We start from the raw sequence: 27084 nt of genomic DNA, 5'->3' as shown, positions 1-27084 counted from the left end.
GTGGTGAGGCGGGGCGGGGCGGGGCTGAGGCCACGCCTTCCAGCCCGCTGAGCAATCAGGATTTGGCTTTGGGGCCTCTGAGACAAGTACCCGGGCTTTGGGTTCCTCTCCTTCGTCCCTTCCACCCAATAAACCGGCTCCATCGGCTTGTCCTCTATTTCCCTGAGACTATGCTCCCTATTTTCTAGCTCAGGGGCCAGCAAATGTTTTCTGCAAAGGGCCAGGTTGTAAATGTTTTGGGATTTGCAGGCGGCAAAGACTCAACTCTGCAACTGTTTCAACTGCCAGTGTAGCGCGAAAGCAGCTATCACAATACTAAATGAATTAGCCTGGTTGTGTTCCAACAAATTTTATTTATGGACTCTTAAATTTCATATAATTTTCACTTGTCACATATAAATTTCACCTGTCATTGTCACAGAATATTATTTTGATTTTTTTAATCATTAAAAAAAGTAAAAACCACTCTCACAGCCCTTACATTAAAAAGGAGGTGGGCCAGATTTGGCTGCAGGTGGGAGTTTGCAGACCCCAGTTCTAGAGGGGTAAACTAATGGTTTAATGACCACAGCTGCTGCTCACACATCAAGACAGACAGACATGGGCCGGGCGTAGTGACTCATGCCTGTAATCTCAGCACTTTGGGAGACTGAGGCGGGTGGATCACTTGAGGTCAGGAGTTCGAGACCAGCCTGGCCAACATGGTGTAACCCCGTCCCTACTGAAAATACAAAATATTAGCTGGGCGTGGTGGCATGTGCCTGCAATCTCAGCTACTGGGGAGGCTGAGACAGGAGAACTGCTTGAACCTGGGAGGTGGAGGTTGCAGTGAGCCGCGATCCCACCACTGCACTCCAGTCTGGGCGACACAGCGAGACTCCAACTCAAAAAAACCCCAAAAAGACAGGCAGGGTCAGAAGTGTGAGTCCTTGATTCCAAGGTGGCAGGTGTAATCAGGGAGCTAAGAATTCATTATTTTTCTCATTCTTGGTCCAGTTACCTACAGAAATGGCTCCTGTAATTACAAGACCAGGAGGTAGGGCCAGGCCCTGGGGAGAGGAGAAGGGGCTGGCAGTGCAGGAGCGAGAGTCCCAGGGAATGGCCCACTCCCTGTTAGGGTGGGAGTTGAGACAGGTGCAGGCGCAGGATCTCCTCTGCCCGCTTCAGGTACTCAGCTGCCTTCTTCTTCACACCTTCCTGGCGGGCAGGCAACGGGTCACCTGTGGAGAGAGAATGCTCAGCTGAGGCACCTGGGCACCACTGGCCTGGTCAGAACCCCTGGTCGGGTCCTTTACAATTCGCAGAGCATCACCATGTGCTTTTCCCTCCTCTCTGGGGCCCAGCATCCATTCTCCTCAGTCTACAAATAAGAAAACTGAGGCCATGCTGGGCGCGGTGGCTCACGCCTGTAATCCCAGCACTTTGGGAGGCCGAGGTGGGTGGATCACGAGGTCAGGGGTTCGAGACCAGCCTGACCAACATGGTGAAAGCCCATCTCTACTAAAACTACAAAAATTCGCTGGGCGTGGTGGCACGTGCCTGTAATCCCAGCTACTCAGGAGGCTGAGGCAGGAGAATGGCTTGAACCTGGGAGGTGGAGGTTGCAGTGAGCCAAGATTGTGCCACTGCACTCCAGCCTGGGCGACAGAGCGAGACTCTGTCTCAAAAAATAAAAATAAATAAATAAAAATAAATAAAAAATAAAAATTCAAAAATTAGCCAGGCATGGTGGTGGGCGCCTGTAATCCCAGCTAGTCGGGAGGCTGAGGCAGTAGAATCACTTGAACCTGGGGGGCGGAGGTTGCAGTGAGCCGAGATTGTGCACTCCAGCCTGCAACAAGAGCAAGACTCTGTCTCAAAAAAAAAAAAAAAAAAAGAGGAAGAAGAAAACTGAGGCCACAAGAGGTTAAAAACAACAACAACAAAAAAACAGAAACAAAAATCTGCCCAGGTTACACAGCTGGTCAGTGAGGAGTAAAAGGGCTCCTGATCCGTGATTTGCTTGTTTTTTTGCTCCCTTCATCACTGCCCCACCTGGGACCCAGGCCTGACCCTCCACCCTCAGTCCCTACTCACTGGGGACTCCCTGAAGCAAGACGTGCACGCCGTCTCGATAGCCCTGGAGTGCAGCAGCGTAAGCGCCTGCCTTCTCATCCCGCAGGGCCTGGGTGATGAGCTCTGTGGCCTGGCTTAGGTAGGCAGGGGTGGGCCCTCCTTCCCCATCCTCTTCCTCCTCCTGCCCTCCTGGCTCCCAGGGTTCCTGGTCCAGCCTTGCAGACTCCACCTCCATCGTTGCCAGCTCAGCCACATGGGTGGGGCTGGGGGCTGCGCCTTCTGCAGTTAGAAAGGGAGGACTCGGACCAGACTGGCCCTTCCTTTCCCAGGCCCTCTGCCCAACCCCAAGACTTCTTTTGTCCATCAGGGTATCAGCCTGTCCCCAGTAGAGGGGACCAATGCCAGAGCAATCCAGAAGTCGTCTGTGGATCAAAAACTAGCCATGAGCTATTTGATCGATAGGGTTCATGTGCTTCTGTAAAAACAGCCTTACCTTCCTAATTATGTCTTTAGGTACACACTCTAGTTTGTAAGCTCTGGGTCACTGGTCCTATTTCCCTCTTGACTCCAGTTGACCTAGAAATCCAAAAATCCCCTCCAGAAAGTTTCCCTGAAGGATGCTAGGCCACCACCACCAGGCTGAGGGTAGAAATGCTCCAAGACTTGGAATAATCTTAGAATAGGAGACTTAGAGAATCTCAGGGGTTTTCTGAAGCCTTGCAGTTTCAGCTGAGGCCCCCAAATGTAAAGACAGTGAGTGACAGGTGTCCTCACATTTCCCAGGTAAAGGCTCATTATATCCCCCTGGACTGGCTAAAAGGGGGTCGGACATCCTACCTGCAGCTTACACACGAGGCGACTGGAAATCTGGTGCACCTTTGGTGAAAAGGCCTCTGAGGGGAAGGTGCGGGGGCAGGAAGCATCATGATACCCTATCATCCTGGAGAGGGAAAAAGTGGGTGCCTCTCTAACCCCATCCCTGTGAGTTCCATGAGAGCCCTGAGAAGTCCGGGCCTCCTGCAGGAGGGAGAAGGCACCTCCTGGCTGGGCCTACAGCCCTCCATGTATTGCTCAGGGAGCAGAGAGCAGAAGAGTACCTGGGACACCTGCACACTCGAGTTAAGGAGTTTGCTGTGAAGAAGGGAGACACAGGTGCCCACTCCTTGCCTCGAGAATTCTGGTGGTGAGAGGCTTGTTGGAGGTGCCCACCATGGCAGGGTAGGGAAATAAGGCAGTGTCTGAGCACACTGCAGTTCCAGGCTTTGGGGACTTTTCCCATGGGCTGAGTGAATGTCTCATTGGAGCTGTCTGTGAAGGGTCTTGAAAAGATCCTGGCTGGACACAGTCACTCATGCCTATGATCCAGCACTTTGGGAGGCTGAGGTGGGAGGACTACTTGAGTCCAGGAGCTTGAGACCAGCCTGGGCAACATAGTGAGATCTCATCTCTACAAAAAATCAAAAACTTAGCTGGGCATGATGGTGCATGCCTGTGGTCCTGTCCCAGCTATTTGGGAGGCTGAGGTGGGAGGATCGCTTAAGCCTAGGAGTTGGAGGCTGCAGTGAGCCGTGATCGCACCACTGCCCTCTAGCCTGGTGACAGAGCCAGACTCTGTCTCAAAAAATAAATAAAAAAAAATAAAAAAATTAAAAAGGAGAGGAAAAAAAATAGAAAAGCTCCTGCCCAGGCAGCTAGCTGCCCAGCAGGGACTCAGCTGGCACAAGGACAGAGCACTTGGATGCCTGCCACCCAGAGGCCAGGCATAACAGCCCTGTGACACCAACATTGCCTTTCCCTCCCATTCCTTCTTCCCACTCCCCAACCCTGGAGAGGCAGGAGCAGGAACGGGAGGAGGCAGAACAAGAAAAGTGAAAGAGGCAGGGCATTTTGGCTCACGCCCGTAATCTCAGCACTCTGGGAGGCGGAGGCAGGTGGATCACTTGAGTGTCAGGAGTTTGAGACCAGCCTGACCAAAATGGTGCGACCCTGTCTCTACTCAAAATACAAAAATTAGCCAGGCGTGGTGGCGCGCGCCTGTAGTCCCAGCCACTCAGGAGGCTGAGGCAGGAGAATCGCTTGAATCCGGGAGGCGGAGGTGGGAGTGAGCTGAGATCGCGCCACTGCACTCCAGCCTCGGCAATCCAGAGCAAGACTCGATCTCAAAAAAAAAAACGGGCCAAGCGCGGTGGCTCACATCCGTAATCCCAGCACTTTCAGAGGCTGAGGCGGGCGCACCACCTGAGGTCGGGAGTTTGAGACCAGCCTGACCAACATGGAAAAATCCCATCTCGACTAAAAATACAAAATTAGCAGGCACCGTGGTGCGCGCCTGTAGTCGCAGCTACTCAGGAGGCTGAGGCAGGAGAATCGCTTGGACCTGGGAGGTTGCAGTGAGCAGAGATTGCGCCACTGTACTCCAGACTGGGCGACAAAGTGAGACTCTGTCTCAAAAAAAGAAAAAGAATAACAGACATGGACTCTTGCTATATTGCCCAGGCTGGTCTTGAATTCCTGGGCTCAAGCAATCTTCCTGCCTCAGCCTCCCAAAGTGTCGAGATTACAGGTGTGAGCCAATGTGCCAGGCGTTGGCAAATTTTAGAATGAAAAACTCCAGTGTCTCAGAGCTTGGGACTGTCGAGTCCCAGGATCTCACAGCAAGAAGGTGCCCAGGACCCTGACCTCCATTGGGGGGGCCCTTCTACCTCCAGCATCCCCAAATGCCAGTGGCTCCAGGCCCCCAGAGGGATTTCCCTTTGCAGCTGCCCTTTGAGCTGAGAACTCACTCCCATTGACCAGCAGGCCTCTTGCCTTCAGGATCTGCAGCCAGACCCTGGCCAGTCAGGAAATCCCACCAAGAGCTTGCAGGGAAGGAACTAAAATGTCCCAGAGCAGTGTGACCCGGCTCTTTCCAAAGCCTTCTCAGTGAGATGGCCCCAACATGGGAAGTGCCTCCTTTCCTTCCTCGTGGCTATTTGTTGCACAGGTGCATCCAGCACACCACACCACGTGCCCTGGCACAGGGCTTCTAATTCTCATTGAAGCTGCTATTGGCCCACAGGGCAGCACTGCTGAGGAGACGTCTCTCCCTGATCTGCGCAGGCACTGAGCAGGCTAGTGGGGCTCTGCCCTCCTCCCTGTCCCAAGGACGTCCTGCCCTGGCTCCTTCCCGGCTGTCCCAGCTCATTACCTTCCTTGGAGAAGGGGTCGAAGAGGGCAAGCTCAGCCTCGGTGAGGGGGCCTCGGGCAGGGGAACCAGATGCCTCCTCGGTGCTCTCACAGTTAAAGAGGAGATCCAGGGCCTCCTGGGCAGGGCTGGATGGTGGGGGGTCCACTGAGGAAGAGATAAGTGGGGTCATGAATACCTGCGTTTATTTCTCAGCTTTCAAAATAGAATTACTCTCTCCTTAAACCCTTGCAGCAACCATGGGCATAGACAAGCCTGTTATTAGGGTTTGTGCTCATTTTACAGATCAAGAAACTGTAGCACAGAGAAGGAAAAGGACCTGCCCAAAGTTCCTCAGCCAGTTAAGTGATAGACCTGGGACACACACACATTTCTCAGTAAGATCACTGAGGAGGGAGTGTGGCCGCCCTCCCCACTCTGCACCCTCCAGCCCTGGTTCCCTCCTCCCACCCCGATGTACCTGGCACCTCCAATTCCTCGAGGCCCCTCCTTTCTGCAGGGAGCAGTTGGGATAGCCGGGGGTCATCAGGGGGCGGGGTGGGGATCAGAGGGGGTGGCAGGATGTGTAGGTCCCTGGACACCTCCAAGGGTCGGGTCACCTCCCCACCCTGCAGGACAGAAAGATCAGACATGGGGAGTCATGGGGTGCAATCTGGTGGGTGGGTAAGTGGCCCAAGTTCTGGGAAGGTGGAAGGTGCACATACCCGGAAGAACTCCTTGAGCTGGGGGCTGTTGTTGAGCGCAGGTATGTGCACAGTGAAGCGAAGCAGGTCCTCTGCCCCCTTTCGCCGCTCCTCGATCACTGAGGCTTCAAACCGGCCTACGGCCCCCAGGACAAGGAACAGGGGAGAGTGGCGGTGACCCACAGGGGCTTCTGCCCCAAGGCCACTTTTCCTGGTCCTGCCTGAGATGCTCTGAGCAACTCACTGCCCTCCTACCCATTCTCCCAGCAATCTGCCCTGGTTCCTCCTGGGGTGAGGTAGGGGCTTCCAGGAGGGATCAATTTCCCTATTCATTCATTTGCCAGATGTTTACTGAGCACCTACTATATGCTAGACTCAGAAGGTGAACAGGGGAGGAACCAGTCTCTGCCCTTGTGAATATCATATCCTACCCAGGGGGAGCTAGGCAGTTAACAAGAAACAAAAGCATTTCTGATGGCTTTGATCTAATGAGAAAAGTAAGGCTCAGAGAGGGAAAGTGACTTGCCCAAGGTCACAAAGCAAGGAGCCCCCGTTTATTTTTTGAGAAAAGGACTGGCTGTGTTACCCAGGCTGGTGTGCAGTGGCACGATCTCAGCTCACTGCAACCTCTGCCTCCTGGGATCAAGCCGCCCTCCCGCCTCAGCCTCCCAAGTAGCTGGGACTATAGGTGCACACAATCATGCCTGGCTAATTTTTGTATTTTTTGTAGAGATGGGGTTTTACCATGTTGCCCAGGCTGGTCTTGAACTCCTGAGCTCAAGTGATTACCTTGCCTTGGCTTCCCAAAGCACTGAGATTACAGGTGCGAGCCACAGTTTCACTGCTCTGTCCTAGGTATTTTGCAGAGCAGGCTAACTCTGGTCCAGTTACTGTGCGGCCAGTCTGTGGTACTTCCCCACTGGCCTGGCATAACCTGACAGCAGCAATCCTTTACCTTGCTTCAAAAGAACATCTCGGCCAGGTGCGGTGGCTCACACCTATAATCCCAGCGTTTTAGGAGGCCGAGGCAGGTGGATCACTTGAGGTTAGGAGTTCGAGACCAGCCTGGCCAACATGGTGAAACCCTGTCTCTACTAAAAATAAAAAAAAATTAGGTGTGGTGGCGCACACTACTTGGGTGGCTACTTGGCTATTTGGGAGGCTGAGGCAGGAGAATCGCTCAAACCTGGGAGGCAGAGTTTGCAGTGAGCTGATATCATGCCACTGGACTCCAGCCTGGGTGACAGAGTGAGACTCTGTCTCAAAAAACAAAAACAAAAACCAATAACAAAAAAGAACATCTCACATGAGTATGCAGACCCAAGCAACTGGTCAGCACTGTCTAATACAGATATGAGCTACATATGCAATTTTAAATTTTCTAGCAGCTAGATTAAATAATAGGAAAAAAGAAACAATTTTTTTTTTTTTTTTTTTTTTGAGACGGAGTCTCACTCTGTCGCCTGGGCTGGAGTGCAATGGCACACTCTTGGCTCACTGCAACCTCTGCCTCCCAGGTTCAAGCGATTCTCCTTCCTCAGCTTCCTGAGTAGCTGAGATTACAAGCACTTGCCACTACACTCAGCTAATTATTTGTATTTTTAGTAGGGACGGGGTTTCACCACGTTGGCCAGGCTGGTCTCAAACTCCTGATCTCGTGATTCGCTTGCCTCGGCCTCCCAAAGTGCTGGGATTACAGGTGTGAGCCATCACACCTAGCCACAAGTTAATTTTAATATTTTATTTAACCCAATATATCCCAAATATTCTCATTGCAACATGTAATCAATATACTAAGTATTGAGATGGGCCGGGTGCAGTGTCTCACGCCTGTAATCCCAGCACTTTGGGAAGCCAAGGCGGGCAGGTCAGCTGAGGTCAGGAGTTCAAGACCAGCCTGGCCAATATGATGAAACTCTGTCTCTACTAAAAATACAAAAATTAGCCAGGCGTGGTGGTGCACACCTGTTATCCCAGCTACTGGGGAGACTGATGCAAGAGAATCCCTTGAACCTGGAAGGTGGAGGTTGCAGTGAGCCAAGACAGCGCCACTGTACTCCAGCCTGGGTGACAAAGTGAGGCTGTCAACAACAACAAAAAAGAAAAAGGAAAATAAAATGGAGCTGATAAAGACAGGATTTTTTTTCCTTTGAGATGGAGTTTTGCCTTGGCCTCCCAAAGTGCTAGGATTACAGGCGTGAGCCACACGCCTGGCCCAACAGGAATGTTAAAAGGTGAAATACACAGTAAGGGTTAGGCTACTCTGAGCCTCAGTTTCCCCATCTGTCAAATGAGGTCATCTCTAAGGGCCCTTCCAAACATGACTCTGCCCAGGGTTTCAGGCCCTCTCTATCCAGCCCCCACTGGCGGAGGTCCCCTTTTGCCCAATGCTCCCTCCATCTTTGGCCCGAGTGCCCCAATCTAACACTCACCAAACACCTGGGCCCGGGGGAAAGCAGGGAACTCCTCGAGGCGGCGGAAGAGGTTGCGGTGGGTGTAGGCCAGGTCTCCATGCAGCTTGCGGAAGTCGCTGTACCGCTTCCAGACCACCACCTATGAGGTACATGAGACTTGCCCAGAACCAGCAATGGTGGGAGGCAGCCGCCCCCATGCCTAGCCTGCCCCCAGGGGGCGTGAGGATCAGGAAGCAGCTGCAGCAGCCCCTCGCCCAGGGACAGGGAGGAAGGAGGGCCGATGTCCAAGCAGAGTTACCAGCTGCCCCTTGACAGTTTCCAGATCTGGAACTGCAGAACAGTCCCTCTTCCTCCCAGGAGCCTCACCTCTTTGACATCCTCTGGGTCCTTCTTTGAGATGAACTGAGAAAGAAAGGCAAGAGCTGGTTGAGACCAGAGACTGCCATCTGACACCCTCTCACCCTGTAATGCCCCAGGTGCCTCCTAGTCCCCCTCACGGGGCAGTAGCCTTTGGCCATTGGCCTCTGGCATCAAGGCACCCTGGCTTTAAGCCTTCGCGTGTAATTTTAGCAACTTTTCCTACTATGTACCTCAGTTTCTCCATCTATCAAATAGGAGGACCCCTAAAGGCCCATTTGGACTGCTCCAACCTCAGCCCAACTTTTTTTTTTTTGAGATGGAGTCTCGCTCTGTCGCCCAGGCTGGAGTGCAGTGGTACACTCTCGGCTCACTGCCACCTCTGCCTTCAGGGTTCAAGCGATTTTCCTACCTCAGCCTCCCAAGAAGCTACAGACATGCACCACCACGCTTGCTAATGTTTGTATTTTTAGTAGAGATGGGGTTTCCCCATGTTGGCCAAGCTGGTCTGGAACTCATGACCTCAAGTGATCCGCCCGCCTCAGCCTCCCAAAGTGCTGGGATTACAGGCGTGAGCACCCGGCCATCAGCCCAATTTTTATCCCAGTTCCTTGAACAGACCAAGTCCCTCCATCTACTTCTGAAACCAAAGAACCCCAAGCCTCCAAAGAAGGGAGGTTCTGCCTCAGGAACCTCCTTCCCTGCGGGAGAAGATCCTGCGCTTCAGCGCCCTGGACACAGAAGAAACCATCACTGGAGTTGAAGTCCCTGGAAGGGCAGACTTGGGTCTGAGGTGAAAACAAGATTCAGTTTTCATCGTTATGTTCATAATAATTTTAAAATAATGTCCTATGGTTTGGGGTACTTGACAGTTTAATAACATCTCCTATGCCAGGCACGGTGGCTCACACCTGTAATGCCAGCACTTTAGGGGGCCCAGGTGGGCAGAGCACTTAAGTCCAGGAGTTTGAGGCCAGCCTGGGCAACATAGTGACACCCAGTATCTGCAAAAAATACAAAAAATTAGCTGGGTGTGGTGGCGTGACACACCTGTAGTCCCAGCTACTTAGAAGGCTGAGGTGGGAGGATCACTTGAGCATGTTAAGCAGAGGTTGCAGTGAGCTGAGATTGCACCACTGCACTCCAGCCTGGAGAGAGTGAGACCCTGTCTCTCACACACTAAATAAATAAATAAAAACATCTATTTCTTATCCTAGATCCCACTGAGGCAGACATAATTGACATGCCCACTTAAGAGATGAGGAAATGGAGGCTCTGAGAGGTGTGGCCATAGTAGACCACACACTAAGTAAGAAAGATGGCTGGGACTAAAACCCTGGACTTTGCTTTTGACAACAGAGACTTGCCTAAAATATTCTGGTAAAAGAAACTATTTAAAAGCCATTGAGTGGCCAGGTGTGGTGTCTCATGCCTGTAATCCCAGCACTTTGGGAGGCCGAGGTGGGAGAATCACTTGAGGTCAGGAGTTCGAGACCAGCCTGGCCAACCAACATGGTGAAATCCTGTCTCTACTAAAAATACAAAAATTAGCCAGGCGTGGTGGCAAGTGCCTGTAGTCCCAGCTACTCAGGAGGCTGAGGCAGGAGAATCACTTGAACCCAGGAGGCAGAGGTTGCAGTGAGCTGAGATCATGCCACTGCACTCCAGCCTGGCAACACAGTGAGACTCCATCTCAAAAAAAAAAAAAAAATTATAGGCCAGGTACGGTGGGTCATGGTGGCCTGTAATCCTAACACTTTGGAAGGCCAAAATGGGAGGATTGCTTGAGGCCAGGAGTTTGAGACCAGCCTGGGCAACATGGCAAAACTCTGTCTCTACAAAAAAAAAAATTTTTTTTTGAGATGGAGTCTCACTCTGTCACCAGGCTGGAGTGCAGTGGTGTGATCTCGGCTCACTGCAACCTCTGCCTCCCGGGTTCAAGCAATTCTCCTGCCTCAGCCTCCCGAGTAGCTGGGACTACAGGTGAGCGCCACCATGCCCAGCTACGTTTTGTACTTTTAGTAGAGACGGGGTTTCACCATGTTGGCCAGAATGGTCTCGATCTCTTGACCTCATGATCCACCCGCCTTGGCCTCCCAAAGTGCTGGGATTACAGGCGTGCGCCACCACGCCCAGCCTCTACAAAAAATTTAAAAATTGAGCTAGGCGTAGTGGTACATGCTTGTAGTCCCAGCTACTCAGGAGGCTGAGGCAAGAGGATGGATTGAATGCAGGAACTTGAGGCTGCAGTAAGACGTGAATCATGCCACTGCACACCAGCGTGGGTGACAGAGCAAGACCCCGTCGCAAATAAAATAAAATAAAATAAAAATATAGGCCAGGCGCGGTGGTTCACACCTGTAATTCCAGCACTTGGGAAGGCCGAGGTGGGAGGATAACTTGAGGTCAGGAGTTCGAGACCAGCCTGGCCAACACAGTGAAATCCCGTCTCTACTAAAAACACAAAAAGTAGCCGGGTGTGGTGGCACACGCCTATAATCCCAGCTACTCAGGAGGCTGAAGCAGGAGAACTGCATGAACCCAGGAGGTGGAGGCTACAGTGAGCTGAGATCACACCACTGTACTCCAGCCTGGGCGACAGAGCAAGACTCCGTCTCAAAAAATATATACATACATATATTTATATATTATGTGCTTTATATTTTATATTTATTATATATAATACATTGTATTATATAATATGTATAAAAATATATCAAAGTAATGCATGTTGCTTGGTTTAAAAAGCCAATGGGAGGCCGGGTGTGGTGGCTCACACCTGTAATCCCAGCACTTTGGGAGGCCAAGGCGGGTGGATCATGAGGTCAAGAGATCGAGACCATTCTGGCCAACATGGTGAAACCCCATCTCTGCCAAAAAATACGAATATTAGCTGGGCATGGTGACGCGTGCCTGTAGTCCCAGCTACCTGGGAGGTTGAGGTGGGAGAATCTGAACCCGGGCGACGGAAGTTTGCAGTGAGCTGAGATCGAGTCACTTCACTCCAGTCTGGGCGACAGTGAGACTCTGTCTCAAAAACAAAACAAAACAACGACACAAAAAAGCCACTGGGAAGACTTATTTTTATTTATTTATTTATTTATTTATTTATTTATATTTTTGAGACGGAGTCTCGCTCTGTCTCCCAGGCTGGAGTGCAGTGGCACAATCTCGGCTCACTGCAAGCTCCACCTCCCGGGTTCACTCCATTCTTCTACCTCAGCCTCCCGAGTACCTGGGACTACAGGTGCACGCTGCCACGCCCGTAAGTTTTTGTATTTTTAGTAGAGATGGGGTTTCACCATGGTAGCCAGGATGGTCTCGATCTCCTGACCTCGTGATCCGCCCGCCTCGGCCTCCCAAAGTGCTGGGATTACAGGCGTGAGCCACCGCGCCCGGCCACCACTGGGAAGACTTATAATAAAAGGTTACAGTTCCTTGCCACATCCTCCCCACCCCAGCCCCACCTCCAGTCTATCTTCCCAGGGACAATCTATTTATTTGCTTTTTTTTTTTTTTTTTTTAAAGTTGTGTGTGTGTCTGTATTTTAATATTGATCCGGGGTCTCACTATGTTGCCCAGGCTCGTCTTGAGCTCCTGAGCTCAAGCAATCTGCTGCCTCAGCCTCCCAAAGTGCTGGGATTTACAGGCATGAGCCACTGAGCCCGGCCTTATTTGCATTATTTTTAGGCATGGAAAAGACGTAAACGGTTTGGGGAAAGCATATTTTAAATAGCTAAGATTCTGCACTTAGATCACTTTGGAAGTGTCCTTATGTGCCTGCTTTGCTTTTAGAGTTAACTAATGCACCAGCTTAATAGTCGCCTGGTTGAAAATTCTAAAAGTACAAAAAATTTACAGTAAAAAGTCTTCCCCTAACTCCTGTCCCCAGTGACACAGTTCCTCTCCCTGGGGACCTTCCTTGTTACCAGTTCTTGTTATCATTCTACAGGTGTCCTGTTTTACTGTTTCATTTTTAATTATTGTCATGGTTTCCTCCATGTCTCTCTATAAATTGTGCTTATGATGTTGTTATCGCTTCATATATCAACTCTAGCCTATCTATCTTCCTGCTGTGACCTTGATATGGCGACTTACTCCTTAAGTCCTTCTGAACTGCATCAATTTTTTTCAACCACTGATCAGTATTATTTTTTGAAAAATTAAAAATGGTTAAACTCGTTAAAGGGAGTTTATGTAACATCAAACAAACCAATAAACAAAACTTACTCTACGAGAATGGAGTACTAATATTTGGATTAAACCAGAGTTTTCATGTTAATTTAGAGAAATTCACAGCCTGATGCCCAGACACTACACTCCGGGCGTGGGCATACACGCCTTGCCTGTCCGGGAACGGCCGTCAACGCCCTTTTAAAAAAGACAGCGCCCACCCAGGACCCCGCCCCCTGGTGGTTAAAGATGTAAACTAAGCCTCGTACTGCAACCTCCCCTTAAAGGGGAAACCCATTTCTGTCGTCTAAAAAGGGAGCAGTGGCTGCACCGCCTTTCCTTAAGGTAAAACTCGGCGCCCCTCTAGTTAAAAGGGTAAAGTACGCGCTGGGCCCCACCTCACCTGCGCGGTTACTTTGTACTCGGTGTAGCCCTTGGGGTGAGTCCTGGGGTCCGACACTGTGTAGTGCCGCAGGAAGTCATCCTTCGCCTGGCGGGACATGAAACCGAGCTGGAGCGGAGCGGAGCGCCGGCCTCCACCTCCTCGCCGTCCCCACCCCTCCGGCCCAGCCTCCGCCCGCCGCCGCCTCGCCAGGCCTGCGCTCTTCTTCCTCTGGCCTAGGGATTTTGTCGCAAGTGACAGCGCTGTTCCGATCCCGGGTGCGCGGCCAAGGGAGCGTCTGAAAAGTTCCTTCTCTGTGGTGAAGCGTAAACCCAGGTCACTGGAAAGATTGGTTGGGAAGGCTGGGATCACTCGTCTCATTTCTGCCGGGTGATCAAGCCCACCCTATCCAAGCGTAAACCCTTGTCACAGACTTCCAAACGACTTCTCCCCGCTTCCTAAATCCCTGCTTTCGTTCATCCACCCAACTCTTATTGTGTCCAGTATGTACAGGACAACGTCAAATTATTTCCCTGTCTCCCTCCACAGGATTCCCTAATTCATGTTTTCTGGAAAGTAGAGGAAGCAAAGAAGGTTGGAGAAGCAGGATGGTGTCATGGGCTCTGAGTCACGACTCTTACTAGCTGTAGGAGTTTCCCTTAACTACTCAGCCTCAGTTTCTCATCTGTAGAATGGAGATGTTTATAATAGAATCTGTGTAGGGCAGTGGAGCTTTTTTGCGATGGGTTTGCTGCCAGAACACAGGTGTCGTGAAAACCACCGTTAAATCAAAGCCAAAATGGGGGTTTGGCGCGGTGGTTCACGCCTGTAATCCCAGCATTTTGGGCAGTGGAGGCAGGTGGATCACTTGAGGTCAGGAGTTCAAGACCAGCCTGGCCAACATGGTGAAACCCCGTTTCTACTAAAAATACAAAAATTAGCTGGGCGTGGTGGCGCACGCCTGTAATTCCAGCTACTCCAGGGGCTGAGCTGGCTGATGGCTTCAGCCCAGGAGGTTGAGGCTGCAGTGAGCTGCAATCACACCACTGCACTCCAGCCTGGGCAACAGAGTGAGACTCCATCTCAAAAGAAAGGGAGCAGGGGAGGGAAAAGACTCAGCTCAACATCATCATCTGATTTGGGCAAGTCCAGCACTACTGGCCATCTGATCTACAAGTGTGGTGGGATCCACAAAAGAACCATCGACAATTTTGAGGAAGCTGCTGAGATGGGAAAGGGCTCCTTCAAGCATACCTGGGTCTTGGGTAAGCTGAAAGTTGAACGTGAGAGTGGTATCACCACTGATACCTCCCTGCTGGCAATTGAGACCAGCAAGTACTATGTGACCATCCTCAATGGCCCAGGATGCAGAGACTTTATCAAAAACCTGACCTCAGGCTAATTGTGCTGTCCTGATTGTTGCTGCTGGTGTTGATGAATTTGAAGCTGGTAATTCCAAGAATGGGCAGACGCGTGAGCACACCCTTCTGTCTTACACGCTGGGTGTGAAACTAATTGTTGGTGTTAACAAAATGGATCCCAATGAGCCACCCTAAAGAGGAGAGATGGGGGCCGGGCGTGGTGGCTCACGCCTGTAATCCCAGCAGTTTGGGAGGCAGAGGTGGGTGGATTAGGAAGTCAGGAGTTCAAGACCAGCCTGACCAAGATGGTGAAACCCCGTCTCTACTAAAAATACAAAAATTAGCTGGGCATGGTGGCGGGTGCCTGTAATCCCAGCTACTTGGGAGGCTGAGGCAGAGAATTGCCTGAAACCAGGAGGCAGAGGTTGCAGTGAGCTGAGATCGTGCCACTGCACTCCAGCCTGGGAGACAGAGGACAGAGTGAGACTCCGTCTCAAAAAAAAAAAAAAAAAAAAAAGGAGAGATGGGAGAAATCATTAAGGAAATCAGCACCTACATTAAGAAATTGGCTACAACTCTGACATAGTAGTATTTGTGCCAATATCTGGTTGGAGTGGTCACAACAGGCGGGAGCCAAGAGCTCACATGCCTTGGCTCAAGGGATGGAAAGTCACCTGTAAAGATGGCGATGCTGTGGAACCACGCTGCTCGGAAGCTCTAGATCACATCCTACCACCAACTCACAAGCTCTTGGTTCTGCCCCTCCAGACGTCCACAAAATTGGTGGTATTGGTACTGTCAGTGTGGGCCACGTGGAGACTGGTGTTCCCAAACCTGGCATGGGTTTTGAGACCTTTGCTCCAGTCAGTGTTAGAATTGAAGCAAAAATCTGTTGAAATGCAGCATGAAGTTGGTAGGCTTACATACAACACATAGTATTTACTGCAGAGGAAGCATTGTGAATAGCCACTCTTGTTCCTGGAATTCAGGTGTACAGGTGCGGTGCCTTGGTCTTCAGAAAGAAGCAAAGCCTGGCATGGGGCTCATGCCTGTAATCCCAGCACTTTGGGAAGCCAAGGCGGGAGGATCACTTGAGGCCAGGAGTTCAAGACCAGCCTGGGCAACAGGCTGCCTCTGATTTCATGAGAAATTTAAAAATTAGCTGGGGGCCAGGTGCAGTGGCTCATGCCTGTAATCCCAGCACTTTGGGAGGCCAAGTCGGGCGGATTACTTGATATCAGGAGTTCAAGACCAGCCTGGCCAACATGATGAAACCCCATCTCTACTAAAAATACAAAAATTAGCCAGGTGTGGTGTCGGGTGCCTATAATCCCAGCTACTCGGGAGAATGGGGCAGGAGAGTTGCTTGAACCCGGCAGGCAGAGATTGCACTTAACCTTCTGGAGGAAATGTCATCCAGGAGCCAGTCAATGCCAGGCAGTGGGTTCTCCCCAGCAGTGGGGCTGCAGCCCTTGACGTACCAGTGGTGGCTGCAGAGAGTCCAGATGCAGGGCTTGGGAGAACAAAGGTGCTGGTGGTGGCCAGTGACCGCAGACCCTTCCCTCCCTGCTCAAGGGTCAGCCCATCCAGGAAGCCTCCCCGGCCCCTGGGAGAGCTTATCTGTTCCCCGGGGCACCTGAGCTCTCTGTACAGTGCCACGCCAGTGCCACCCCTTAGTGTCCCATATAAGAGAGGATCCTGATAGGCGGCACTGCATAGGGCTGTCCCTAACTGTATTGCTGAATGGAATGGGTAGTACTTAGAACAGTGTAGGGAAAAGAGAGATCAGACTGTTACTGTATCTATGTAGAAAGGGAAGATAGAAGAAATTTCATCTTGACCTGTACCCTGAACAATTGCTTTGCCCTGAGATGCTGTTAATCTGTAACTTTGCCCCAGCCACTTTGCCCCAACCCCTTTGCCCCAACCTTGAGCTCACAAAAACATGTGTTGTATGGAATGAAGGTGTTTTTTTTTTTTTTTTTTGAGATGGAGTCTCGCTCTGTCGCCCAGGCTGGAGTGCAGTGGCGCCATCTCGGCTCACTGCAAGCTCCGCCTCCTGGGTTCATGCCATTCTCCTGCCTCAGCCTCCCGAGTAGCTGGGACTATAGGCGCCCACCACCACACCTGGCTAATTTTTTGTATTTTTAGTAGAGACGGGGTTTCACCGTGTTAGCCAGGATGGTCTCAATCTCCTGACCTCATGATTCGCCTGCCTCGGCCTCCCAAAGTGCTGAGATTACAGGCGTGAGCCACCACGCCCGGCCTTGGAATCAAGGTTTAAGGTCTAGGGCTGTGCAGGACGTGCCTTGTTAACAAAATGTTTACAGGCAGTATGCTTGGTAAAAGTCATCGCCATTCTCTAGTCTCAATAAACCAGGGGCACAATGCACTGTGGAAAGCTGCAGGGACCTCTGTCCTGGAAAGCCGGATATTGTCCAAGGTTTCTCCCCATGTGAGAGTCTGAAATATGGCCTCGTGGGATGAGAAAGACCTGACCGTCCCCCAGCCCGATACCCATAAAGGGTCTGTGCTGACGTGGGTTAGTAAAAGAGGAAAGCCTCTTGCACTTGAGATAGAGGAAGGCCACTATCTCCTGCCTGCACCTGGGAACTGAATGTCTCGGTATAAAACCAGATTGTACATTTGTTCAATTCTGAGATAGGAGAAAAACCGCCCTATGGTGGGAGGCAAGACATGTTGGCAGCAATGCTGCCTTGTTATTCTTTATTCCACTGAGATGTTTGGGCAGAGAGAAACATAAATCTGGCCTACGTGCACATCCAGGCATAGTACCTCCCCTTGAACTTAATTATGACACAGATTCTTTTGCTCACGTTTTTTTGCTGACCTTCTCCCTATTATCACCCTGCTCTCCTACCACATTCTTCTTGCTGAGATAGTGAAAGTAATAATCAATAAAAACTGAAGAAACTAAGAGACCGGTCCCAGTGTGGGTCCTTGGTATGCTGAGCGCCGGTCCCCTGGGCCCACTTTTCTTTCTCTATACTTTGTGTCCTATTTCTTTTCTCAGTCTCTCGTCCCACCTGACGAGATATACCCACAGGTGTGGAGGGACAGGCCACCCCTTCACACAGAACCCTGCAGAGTAAGCAGCTGCTAGGACCCTGTGCCATGAAAACATCTGCCAGTTTTGCCACTTGGATTGGACCCCTGGGGTGGCCTCATTTCCTATCCTTTCCCAACCTGGCACTGCTTCTGAGTTCCTGTAGCCTTCAGGGAAGGCCTCAGTTACCCCTGCCTGATGTGGCCCCCCTCCCACCCTCTGGCTGCACTCTCTCCTACACATGACTCTATGCACCTCCCCATTTCCCAAGAGCCATTGCTTTTTTTTTTTGAGACAGAGTCTCGCTCTGTCACCCAGGCTGGAGTGCAGTGGCGCAATCTCGGCTCACTGCCAGCTCCGTCTTCCCGGGTTCACGCCATTCTCCTGCCTCAGCCTCCCGAGTAGCTGGGACTACAGGCGCCCGCCACCACGCCCGGATAATTTTTTGTATTTTTAGTAGAGACGGGGTTTCACCGTGTTAGCCAGGATGGTCTTGATCTCCTGACTTCATGATCCGCCCATCTTGGCCTCCCAAAGTGCTGGGATTACAGGTGAGCCACCGCGCCCAGCCGGAGCCCTTGCTCATCATGCCTGTCCTGTGATCCCCTCTGCCTGAATCTGTGCTGGCCTTGTACAGCTGTTCAGGTTGTCCACTGCACATGGGTTCCTGGCTGCAACAGAGAATTGGGAGCTGAATTTCAGCCCATGTTCCATGCAAAAAGTTGGAGCCCTGGTCTGCAGCTGTGTCTGTTTTTCTAATTCATACCTATGAGAGTTGGATTTCCCCTGGTGAACTGTCTTCCCCTTCCTCTACCTAGAAAACTACTCGCGCTTTACTCCCAGCTTTAATGTGACCTCCTTTAGGAAGCCTGCAGATGGAATCAGTTGCACCGTGTCCCATGCTTCTATAACTTTTTCTGCATCCCTTTGACATAGCCACAGTTCACCATCGACTCCAATGATCCATTCCTTTCTGTCCCCTGCTAGATTGAGGGTCCCAGGTGGTCTCTAACGCTGTTGAATCAACAAATGACTCAGCCAGGAATCGGGGCAAGGAGCGGTTTATTTCACAACTGAGTGAAGGATGAGGCCCACAGCCTCGGTAGCAGCAGTAGCAGCTCCTCCCCGCCCAGCCCTCTCTTCTTGGTATGGTAGCCAAAGGCCAGGTCAGGAGCCAGAGAGACAGCCAGGGCACAGCCCTCCCGCCATGGGAGCCGGGTGGCCACAGAGCAGCAGCGGGCAGCAGTAGCAGCAGCAGGCTGGGGTGGAGGAGGGGGAGTGTTAGTTTGGCCGGCTGACTCCCAACCCCCCATGGGTAGTGTTTGGTGAAGGTTGAGGGACCTGGACTGCTAGGTGGGGGGCATCTGGAGTGGTTCAGTCAGCTGTGAAAATGCGGCTGGAAATGTCATCCAGGAGCCAGTCGATGCCCGGCAGCAGGTTCTCCCCGGTGACGGCGCTGCAGCCCTGGATGCACCAGTGGTGGCTGCGGATGGAGTCCAGCTCCAGGACCTGGGAGGACAAAGGTGCTGATGGTGGTGGCCAGTGACTGCAGACCCTGCCTGCCGTCAGCCCCTTCCCTCCCCAGCCCAGAGGAACTCCACGCCTTCCTCAAGGCCCTGCTCCATGTCATCCCATCCAGGAAGCCCCGCCGGTCCCAGGGAGAGTTTGTCAGACCCCAGGGGCACCTGGGCTCTCTGTCCAGTTCCATGCCAGTGCTGCCCCTTAGTGATGTAAATGCAGCATGGGCTCCTGAGCATCCACCAGGATCCGGGCATCGTGCTAGGAGCCCCACACACCCTCTCTCACTCATTCTCCTCAAGCCCTCATGAGCCAGGGATTGTGTCGACCATTTCACCAAGGAGGAAACCAAAGTTCAGAGAGGTTAAGCAACCTGCCTAGGGGAACATAGCTCATAAGTGGCAGAGCCAAGATTTTAACCCTGCTCTTTCTCACTGTGGTGCTTGAGCACTAGAATCATGGTTAAAATGTGGGCTCTGGGGTCAGACACAGGCTTCCTGTCTATTTAGTGGCTGTGTGACCTGGGACAAGTTACCTAACCTCTGTGAGCCTGCTTCACCATCTGTAAAATAATAGTTCTCACCTCATGAGGTGGTTGTGAGAATGAAATGAGTTAATCCATGCAAGGAGCAGAGCATACTGAAAGCACTGACTTGTGCTGGCTACCGTTAGCCTGTGAACAACACATGCGCAGCTCTGCCTTCCCCAGGCTGTGGGCCACCCCATGCCTTATTAATCACTGGATCCCCAGTGCCCTGCATAGGTCCTGCCACCTAGCAGGGCTAGGCTAATAAATGCTTTTCTTATTATTATTTTACTTCTTTCTTTTTTTTTTTTTTTTTGAGACGAAGTCTCACTCTTTTCCCACAGGCTAGAGTACAATGGCGCAATCTTGGCTCACTGCAACCTCCACGTCCTGGGTTCAAGCGATTCTCCTGTCTCAGCCTCCTGAGTAGCTGGGCTTACAGGCGCACGCCACTGCACCCAGCTAATTTTTGTATTTTTAGTACAGACGGGGTTTCATCATGTTGGTCAGGCTGGTCTCGAACTCCTGACCTCAGGTGATCCACTCGCCTTGGCCTCCCAAAGTGCTGGTATTACAGGCGTGAGCCACTGCACCCAGCCTTTTTGGTTATTTTTAATAAATGCTTTTAAAATAAATAAATGTATGCCCCTTTCCCTCAGCGAGCCTGTCCCGGGGCCTGGACTCACCTCGCGGATGGCGTTAGAGGACAGTGCTCCAGGCAGGTCCTGCTTATTAGCAAAGATGAGGAGGGTTGCTCCGGCCAGGCGCTGGGGGAGAAAAGATAGAGGGGTGGGGTGGGGACTCAGAGGACAGCCTGACCCCTCCTCTAATGGCCCAGAGCATCTGGGGTGAAGGATCGACCTGGAAGATCAAGGTGAGGCCCCGTGGTGGTGGGAGAGGCCCAGGAGTGAGTTTGTGGACGTAGCCATCAAGGCTGGCCCACATGAATGGAGCAGCCCTGGGCCAGGGTTCTGGTTCCAGCCAACCACCACCCAGGGGACACCGCTGTCCCCATGCTCCAGCTTCCTCTTCCATGAACAGGGAGGGGTGTTGCATAAGATGATCCCTGAGCTCTCCGTGGTTCTAGACTGCTCCAATCTGATGACCAGACATGCACAGAGGATGTGAACTCTCCCTCTTCTGGGTTCACACAGCCCTTTAACCGTTCCACTCCCGACAGGCCTCACTGTCCACCTCTGATTCTAGTTGTTTCCACATATGTGTCTGTGATTGGGAGAGATGTGGGTGGACGGGTCTAACCCTTGGGCCTTGACCTGCCTTGACCAGCATTTGACGGCCCTGATCTCATCTGACCTGCTCCACCCACATAGGAGATGTGTGCGGTGTGCCCAGGACAGTCCCCACTCTGCCTGCAGAATCCCCCCTTTCACTCTCACAAGTGTCCTCATTTTCAACTAAATGCAATTTTGTAGCCTGAATCAAACATTGGAACACAAAAAGTATATTAGTGGAAAAACGTGAAATTCAAATAAAATCTGTAATTAAGATAATAGTAATTCACCAGTGTTGATTTATTAGTTTGGACAGGCCACGGTTAGGTAAGATGGGGAAGCAAGGTAAAGGGTATATGGGGGACCTCTGACCTCTGTACTATCTTTGCAAGTGTCCTTCTTTTTTTTTTTTGAGACGGAGTCTCACTCTGTTGCCCAGGCTGGAGTGCAGTGGCACAATCTCGGCTCACTGCAAGCTCCGCCTCCCAGGTTCACGCCATTTTCCTGCCTCAGCCTCCTGAGTAGCTGGGACTACAGGCGCCCGCCACCATGCCTGGCTAATTTTTTGTATTTTTAGTAGACACGGGGTTTCACCATGTTAGCCAGGACGGTCTCGATCTCCTGACCTCGTGATCCGCCCGCTTCAGCCTCCCAAAGTGCTGGGATTACAGGCGTGAGCCACCGCACCTGGCCCCTTCCTTTTTTTTTTTTTTTGAGACAGGGTCTTGCTCTGTCGCCCAGGAGGCTGGAGTGCAGTGGCACGATCACAGCTCACTGCAGCCTCAACCTCCTGGGCTCAACTGATCCTCCTGTCTGAGCCTCCAGAGTAGCTAGGACTATAGGTGCGTGCCACCACCCCCAGCTGAGGTCACACAGCAAAGAGTCAGACTCTTGAGCCAGGCTCCATGGCCTCTCGAAGCTTCATACTGGCCTTGGGTTATCCTCCCTAAAGCCCAGTGATGTGGGTGTCATCATCACCATTTCAAGGCATAGAAACTGATGCTCAGGGTAGTGACGTAGTAACACCACAGGGACGTTAACTCAATCTCAGTCCACAGCATGTGTCCTGCCTCTGGCACCATGGGCCTCCCATGGTGGGGGCCCAGAGAAGGAAGGGATCCTGCCTCTGGTTTCCCTCTGGGGCCACGGGCCCCTCTGGGCATCTGCTGAGAAGGCAGCCACACGTCCATACATGTACACAAAGGGTAGGAGCTGCCCACCTCCTCCACCAGCAGGCTCTGGAGCTCCCGCTGGCAGTCCTGCATGCGCTGGCGGTCTGCGCTGTCCACTACCCAGATGAGGCCATCGGTGCTCTCAAAGTAGTTCCGCCAGTAGGACCGCAGGGACTTCTGGCCACCCACATCCCAGATGTTCAGCTTGAATCTGGGCAAGGAGCGGGTGACAGGAGGGTCAGCTGGGCCCCTCTCCCACCTTCCCTGCCCTGCTCTGGGCTGGCCCTCCCATGGGGCCCCTGCTCACCCTCGGTGCTCCAGGGTCTTGATGTTGAAGCCCAGCGTTGGGGAGATGGTGTCGATGTCCTCCCCATTGAACTTCTTCAGGATGGTTGTCTTTCCAGCATTGTCCAGGCCACTGGGGCGCAGCAGGTTAAGGAGAAGTCCCTGTTCTCTGCCAGGTGGTGACATTGTTGCAGAGCCCCTTAGGGGACTCATTATTTCCCACCATGTATCAAACTGAGTTGAGCACATGCCTGACCATAATCGGCCCACAATAAATATGAAAGTATCAAATTATAAATATCATCTCTACTGACCAAAGGCTCCTTAATTTGTTGAACACCTACTATGTGCCAGACCCTCTTCTGGGTGCTAGAGGACAAAGCCCTGCCCTTAGGAAGCTTACACTCTAGCGGGAAGACAGTCAATAAAGTACAAACAAATGAGAAAAGAAGGCCCTGCCAGATCCCGGCTAGCGCCATCAACACAACAGAGAGGCTTTCCAAGAGGGCCATCGGAGGAGGCTCTTTCAGCTCAGGTGCCGGGGAAGGCCTCTCTGAGGTGTCTGGAGCTGAGACCCAAAATACAAGGAGCAAGCTTTTTGAAGAACTAAGGTAAGAACAAATATCTGGAGGCAGCCACCCTCATTTGTTTCTGGAATATTCCAGACCTGCTACTGCACAGTGCAAATTAATGGGTGTGCTTACCTGTGGAAGGAACCACCCTCCTCTATCTTCCCAACACTGCAGCTCAGTTGGGCATGGTGGGGTGGGCGGGTCCTGGACTCGACCACCTTTCCCTGCTCATCGGAGCTGGGGCAAATGACCTAGGCCCAGGAGAGGGGTGAGGAGGGCATTTCCCCTGAGGCCCAGCCTTAGCCCCTGGAACCTAGCCGCTGATGACCCCCTGCCCCCAAGCCATCATCCATGTTTCCTTCCCCTCTTGATCATTCCCACTGGCTGATGAGCTTGCCGTTCTTTCTCCCACCTTAAAAAGAGCAAATAGGCCGGGCGCGGTGGCTCACACCTGTAATCCCAGCACTTTGGGAGGCCAAGGTGGGTGGATCATCTGAGGTCAGGAGTTCGAAACCAGCCTGACCAACAAGGTGAAACCCCATCTCTACTAAAACTACAAAAATCAGCCAGGCGTGGTGGCGGGCCCCTATAGTCCCAGCTACTCGGGAGGCTGAGACAGGAGAATTGCTTGAACCCGGCAGGCAGAGGTTGCAATGAGCCGAGATCACACCACTGTACTCCAGCCTGGGCGACTCAGCGAGACCCCGTCTGATTAAAAAAAAAAAAAGAGCAAACAAAGCCCTTGATCTCTCTGCCCCATCTAGTTATTCATTTATATCTTTCCTTTTACAGGAAATCTCAAAATAGTTGTTTGTGCTCACCCCCATTTCTGCCTTCTTGCTCTTTCAAGAACACACTCCCATCAGGCTTTTGCTGCTGCTGTGGCCAAAACTGTCCTTACCAAGGTCAGTCCCCAAAGACCTCCCTGTGGCCCTCTAGTGCTGGGACAGCGCTCAGTCATCTTCTGTTCCCCACTCAGCACCTGATGGAGTGGCTCACCCTCCTCCCCAGCACATGCGCTGCCCTTGGCACTGGGACACACCCTCACCTGGTTCTGCTCCTCACCTGACTTCATCCTGGTACAACCGGGTTCTCTTCTCTGGCCACGCTCATCCCTGGGTGACCTCATCCAGGATCACAGCTTCAAATACCATCTCTATCCTGATAACACCCAAATGTGCACCTCCCACACACTGGACCTCAGTGCCTACATCCAGCTGCCTGCCTGACACTTCTGGGCTGTCTCGGAGGCATCTCACATGGCACACACAGGCACACACAGGGTTCTCATCTCCACCCTGAACCTGCTCCTCCCCCAGTCCTCTCCATCTCAGCAAATGGTTCCTCACCCTTCTAATTGCTCAGGCCAGAAACTTCCATGACCTCACTACTTCCATCCTGGTCCAAGCCACCATCCTATCTCGCCTGCGTCACTGCAGTGGCCTAACTGGTCTGCGATTCCTTCTCTCCACTGCACTTCTCACTGAAAGGGAAAACCAAAAACCAAAAGGCCCTAGGTGAGGGGGTTCCCAGTCAACGCTCCTCCTCCCCACTCCAGCCATACTGCCCTCCTCACCAGTCCTCTGAACACGCCAGTTAGTCCTCCCAGGGCCTCTGACTTGCTGTTCCCTTTGCTTTAAAGTTTCCCCCCCCCCCGAATTGCTATATGGTTCAACCCTCGCCTCCCTCATGTACTCAATTGTCATTTTTTTTTTTTTTAACAGAGTTTCGCTCTTGTCACCCAGGCTGGACTGCAATGGCGTGATCTCAGCTCACTGCAGTCTCCGCCTCCCGGGTTCTGGCAATTCTCTTGCCTCAGCCTCCCAGGTAGCTGGGATTAAAGGTGTCCACCACCACATCCAGCTAATTTTTGTATTTTCAGTAGAGACGGGATTTCACCATGTTGGCCAGACTGGTCTCAAAACTCCTGACATCAGGCGATCCATCCGCCCCGGCCTTTCAAAGTGCTGGGATTACAGGCATGAGCCACTGCGCCCTGCCATCATACAGTGGCCTTCTTTGACCACCCTAAATTGCATTATTCTCCATACCTATATACGTAGTGGGAGTTCATCCTGGAGCAGTATAAGGCCCTGTTCCCCAGAAGCATGGTCCAAAGCATGGCCCATATATATATAGTATGTATGGAGAATATATATATGTATAAATAGAGACAGAGTCTCACTATGTTGCCCAGGCTGGTCTCAAACACCTGGGCTCAAGCGAACCTCCCACCTCAGCCTCCCAAAGTGCTAGGGTTACAGGTGTGTGCCACCGCACCCAGCCTCTATTACATATTTTACTTACTTCCTGTGTTATCATCTTTCTACCCGCGGGCAACCCCCCCGCCACACACACACACACGCATTACAGAATTTCCATGAAGGTAAGATTTTTTAGTTTTATTACCCTGGGCACTAGGACAGTGTCTAGCACATATTAGGCACTCAATATTTATCAAATGAGTGAACTGTATGCTTTTCTTAGAGCTCTTTAAAGCAGACATGCGGCCCGGCGCAGTGGCTCACGCCCATAATCCCAACAGTTTGGGAGGCCAAGGCGGGTGGATCACTTGAGGTCAGGAATTCGAGAACAGCCTGACCAACAAGGTGAAACCCCGTCTCTACTAACAATATTTAAAAAAATAGCCGGGCGTGGTGGCGGGCACCTGTAATCCCAGCTACTTGGGAGGCTGAGGCAGGAGAATTGCTTGAACTCGGGGGGCGGAGGTTGCAGCGAGCTGAGATTGTGCCACTGCACTCCAGCCTGGGCAACAAGAGCGAAACTCCGTCTCAAACAAAACAAAATAAAACAGACATGGGCCGGACTCCGTGGCTCATGCCTATATTCCCAGAGTTTTGGGAGGCTGAGGCAGGAGGATCACTTAAGCCTAGAAGCTGGAGGCTGCGGTGAGCCTTGATTGTGCCACTGCACTCCAGCCAGGGCAACAGAGCAAGACCCTGTCTCAAAAAACAAAACAGTCATGATGTGATTATTAAGTTATATGTGCACGTAAGCGTCTTATCTCCCCAGCCATTCCCCCGCGGAGCCTGGCACAGAGCTGGGGGAACAGGTGCGGGCGCCTAACTGGACTCAGAAGGCGCACAGGGCGCACGGGACACTCGGGCCCACACACACACATCCTCAGCCGCAGGGACAACCACGGGCCGCGTAACACCAAAGAGACGGACTGTTGGATCCACGCTCGAAAGGATCCGCGGAGCCCACACGCGCCACCCGCCACCCCGCACGCCCCCGGGATTCGGAGCTCGAGGGCGGGGCCGGGGCCTGGAACCCTCGGGCCCGGGGGAGGAGATCAGAGCCGGGAGGGCAGCGGCCCCACGCTTGGGCCAGGCCGCCGGGTGGTGGCGTCCGAGTTATCTCCGGGACCCACCACCCCTGACACTCGGGCCGCCTAGCCCCGCCGCTGCGCCTGCAGGACCGCTTCTGCGGCCCTCGGAGCTGGCCCCTGCCCCAGTCCTGGGGTGCGGCTCCTCCCGGCCCGACGGGGCGATTGATGGGGCCCGCGTGGTGACGCCAGGGGCAGTTGGGACGCGCCGGCCGCCGCGTTCCGCTCCCGACAGGGGGCGCCCGGCACCGCCTGCCCGGCTGGACCCCGCCACCCTCGCGGTTCCGGCGTCCGGTAGGATACAGCATGAGCAGTCGCAGCTCCCGCTCTTTCTGCTTCATCTTCTTCAGAATGGTCAGGAGCCCCATGGTCCCCGGAGCCCCCTCCCGGCCGCCGTTTCTTCCCAGTCCCGGGACCCCGCTCCCGGTTCCTGTTGGCTATCACGCTCGCCGACGGCATAGTCGATTGGCCGGACGCTCGTTTGGTCCCGCCCTTGCCGCACGTGACCGCGAGGTCGCCCGCGCAGCTGCTGCGAGGGTCCCTCTAGCGGCGCGGGGGGTTTCTGTGCTGCCGCCCGCCCTGACGCTGCGCCTCCCGAGGGCTGAGGCTGGGGGAGCAAGGGCGACTCCCCCACCCTTTCCCCTGCCGGACTGGGGCTCTTGGCCGGAGCGGAAACCTTGAAGTTCCTGAGTTGCATCTTGGCTGCGTCTGACCTGAGAGTCAGAACCCAGGGCCCCCAGGTACGGACGAACTC

General features: G+C 52.6%; 2 protein-coding genes, 1 long non-coding RNA gene, 1 other non-coding gene and 1 pseudogene across 6 annotated transcripts, besides 6 other annotated features; 1 reads left to right on the top strand and 4 right to left on the bottom strand.

Moving 5' to 3' along the window:
* SNX15 (sorting nexin 15) lies at window positions 334–13467 on the bottom strand. 2 transcript variants are annotated; one of them, NM_013306.5, is made up of 8 exons: window positions 13270–13467; window positions 8703–8738; window positions 8355–8475; window positions 5944–6059; window positions 5700–5847; window positions 5243–5386; window positions 2077–2334; window positions 334–1220 (listed from the first exon to the last, which is right to left on the bottom strand). In NM_013306.5, exons 1-8 carry the CDS (start codon window positions 13366–13368, stop codon window positions 1114–1116), a joined length of 1029 nt encoding a protein of 342 aa, NP_037438.2. In that variant the 5' UTR covers window positions 13369–13467; the 3' UTR covers window positions 334–1113. The 2 variants fall into 2 exon arrangements, with proteins under 2 accessions (NP_037438.2, NP_680086.2); NM_147777.4 differs by lacking the exon at window positions 2077–2334.
* ARL2-SNX15 (ARL2-SNX15 readthrough (NMD candidate)) lies at window positions 334–26746 on the bottom strand. The gene is made up of 11 exons (NR_037650.2): window positions 26634–26746; window positions 22432–22542; window positions 22173–22335; window positions 13270–13588; window positions 8703–8738; window positions 8355–8475; window positions 5944–6059; window positions 5700–5847; window positions 5243–5386; window positions 2077–2334; window positions 334–1220 (listed from the first exon to the last, which is right to left on the bottom strand). It is a non-coding gene; the product is annotated as an ARL2-SNX15 readthrough (NMD candidate) (long non-coding RNA).
* Window positions 1857–1976: an enhancer, noted in NCBI's record as "active region_4938". NCBI's record gives its function as "activates an Ori minimal core promoter by ATAC-STARR-seq in GM12878 lymphoblastoid cells {active_cell/tissue: GM12878}" and the evidence as "EXISTENCE:reporter gene assay evidence [ECO:0000049][PMID:35858748]".
* Window positions 2047–2096: an enhancer, noted in NCBI's record as "active region_4937". NCBI's record gives its function as "activates an Ori minimal core promoter by ATAC-STARR-seq in GM12878 lymphoblastoid cells {active_cell/tissue: GM12878}" and the evidence as "EXISTENCE:reporter gene assay evidence [ECO:0000049][PMID:35858748]".
* Window positions 13336–13505: a silencer, noted in NCBI's record as "silent region_3505". NCBI's record gives its function as "represses an Ori minimal core promoter by ATAC-STARR-seq in GM12878 lymphoblastoid cells {active_cell/tissue: GM12878}" and the evidence as "EXISTENCE:reporter gene assay evidence [ECO:0000049][PMID:35858748]".
* Window positions 13336–13649: a biological region, named in NCBI's record as "Sharpr-MPRA regulatory region 4003".
* Window positions 13355–13649: an enhancer, noted in NCBI's record as "tiled region #4003; HepG2 Activating non-DNase unmatched - State 1:Tss, and K562 Activating DNase matched - State 1:Tss". NCBI's record gives its function as "activates a minimal TATA promoter and a strong SV40 promoter by Sharpr-MPRA in HepG2 and K562 cells {active_cell/tissue: HepG2 | K562}" and the evidence as "EXISTENCE:reporter gene assay evidence [ECO:0000049][PMID:27701403]".
* EEF1A1P18 (eukaryotic translation elongation factor 1 alpha 1 pseudogene 18) lies at window positions 14349–14815 on the top strand (annotated as a pseudogene).
* ARL2 (ARF like GTPase 2) lies at window positions 18722–26746 on the bottom strand. Of its 2 annotated transcripts, NM_001667.4 has the most exons (5): window positions 26634–26746; window positions 22432–22542; window positions 22173–22335; window positions 20407–20487; window positions 18722–19185 (listed from the first exon to the last, which is right to left on the bottom strand). In NM_001667.4, the coding sequence occupies exons 1-5, from the start codon at window positions 26696–26698 to the stop codon at window positions 19051–19053; spliced, it is 555 nt and encodes a 184-aa protein (NP_001658.2). In that variant the 5' UTR covers window positions 26699–26746; the 3' UTR covers window positions 18722–19050. The 2 variants fall into 2 exon arrangements, with proteins under 2 accessions (NP_001658.2, NP_001186674.1); NM_001199745.2 differs by lacking the exon at window positions 20407–20487.
* On the bottom strand, window positions 22336–22401 carry MIR6879 (microRNA 6879). Its single transcript, NR_106939.1, has one exon. It is a non-coding gene; the product is annotated as a microRNA 6879 (primary transcript).
* Window positions 26140–26899: a silencer, noted in NCBI's record as "silent region_3504". NCBI's record gives its function as "represses an Ori minimal core promoter by ATAC-STARR-seq in GM12878 lymphoblastoid cells {active_cell/tissue: GM12878}" and the evidence as "EXISTENCE:reporter gene assay evidence [ECO:0000049][PMID:35858748]".

Source organism: Homo sapiens, chromosome 11 (assembly GCF_000001405.40).
Source record: "Homo sapiens chromosome 11, GRCh38.p14 Primary Assembly".
Lineage (NCBI taxonomy): Eukaryota > Metazoa > Chordata > Mammalia > Primates > Hominidae > Homo > Homo sapiens.
The sequence above is the reverse complement of the archived record's forward strand: the minus strand, read 5'-3'. Positions and strand labels throughout refer to the sequence as shown.

What these genes read in the sequence shown, in the direction of transcription:
- ARL2 (NM_001667.4), bottom strand. Translation starts at nt 26,698, where the DNA reads ATGGGGCTCCTGACCATTCTGAAGAAGATGAAGCAGAAAGAGCGGGAG. An exon ending in AAGACCCTGGAGCACCGAGG is followed by an intron (nt 22,336 to 22,431) that starts GTGAGCAGGGGC and finishes CTCCTTGCCCAG; the next exon opens with ATTCAAGCTGAACATCTGGG. An exon ending in AGAGCCTGCTGGTGGAGGAG is followed by an intron (nt 20,488 to 22,172) that starts GTGGGCAGCTCC and finishes TTTCTCCCCCAG; the next exon opens with CGCCTGGCCGGAGCAACCCT.
- SNX15 (NM_013306.5), bottom strand. Translation starts at nt 13,368, where the DNA reads ATGTCCCGCCAGGCGAAGGATGACTTCCTGCGGCACTACACAGTGTCG. An exon ending in ACCCAGAGGATGTCAAAGAG is followed by an intron (nt 8,476 to 8,702) that starts GTGAGGCTCCTG and finishes TGTACCTCATAG; the next exon opens with GTGGTGGTCTGGAAGCGGTA. An exon ending in CCCCCGGGCCCAGGTGTTTG is followed by an intron (nt 6,060 to 8,354) that starts GTGAGTGTTAGA and finishes TGGGGGCCGTAG; the next exon opens with GCCGGTTTGAAGCCTCAGTG.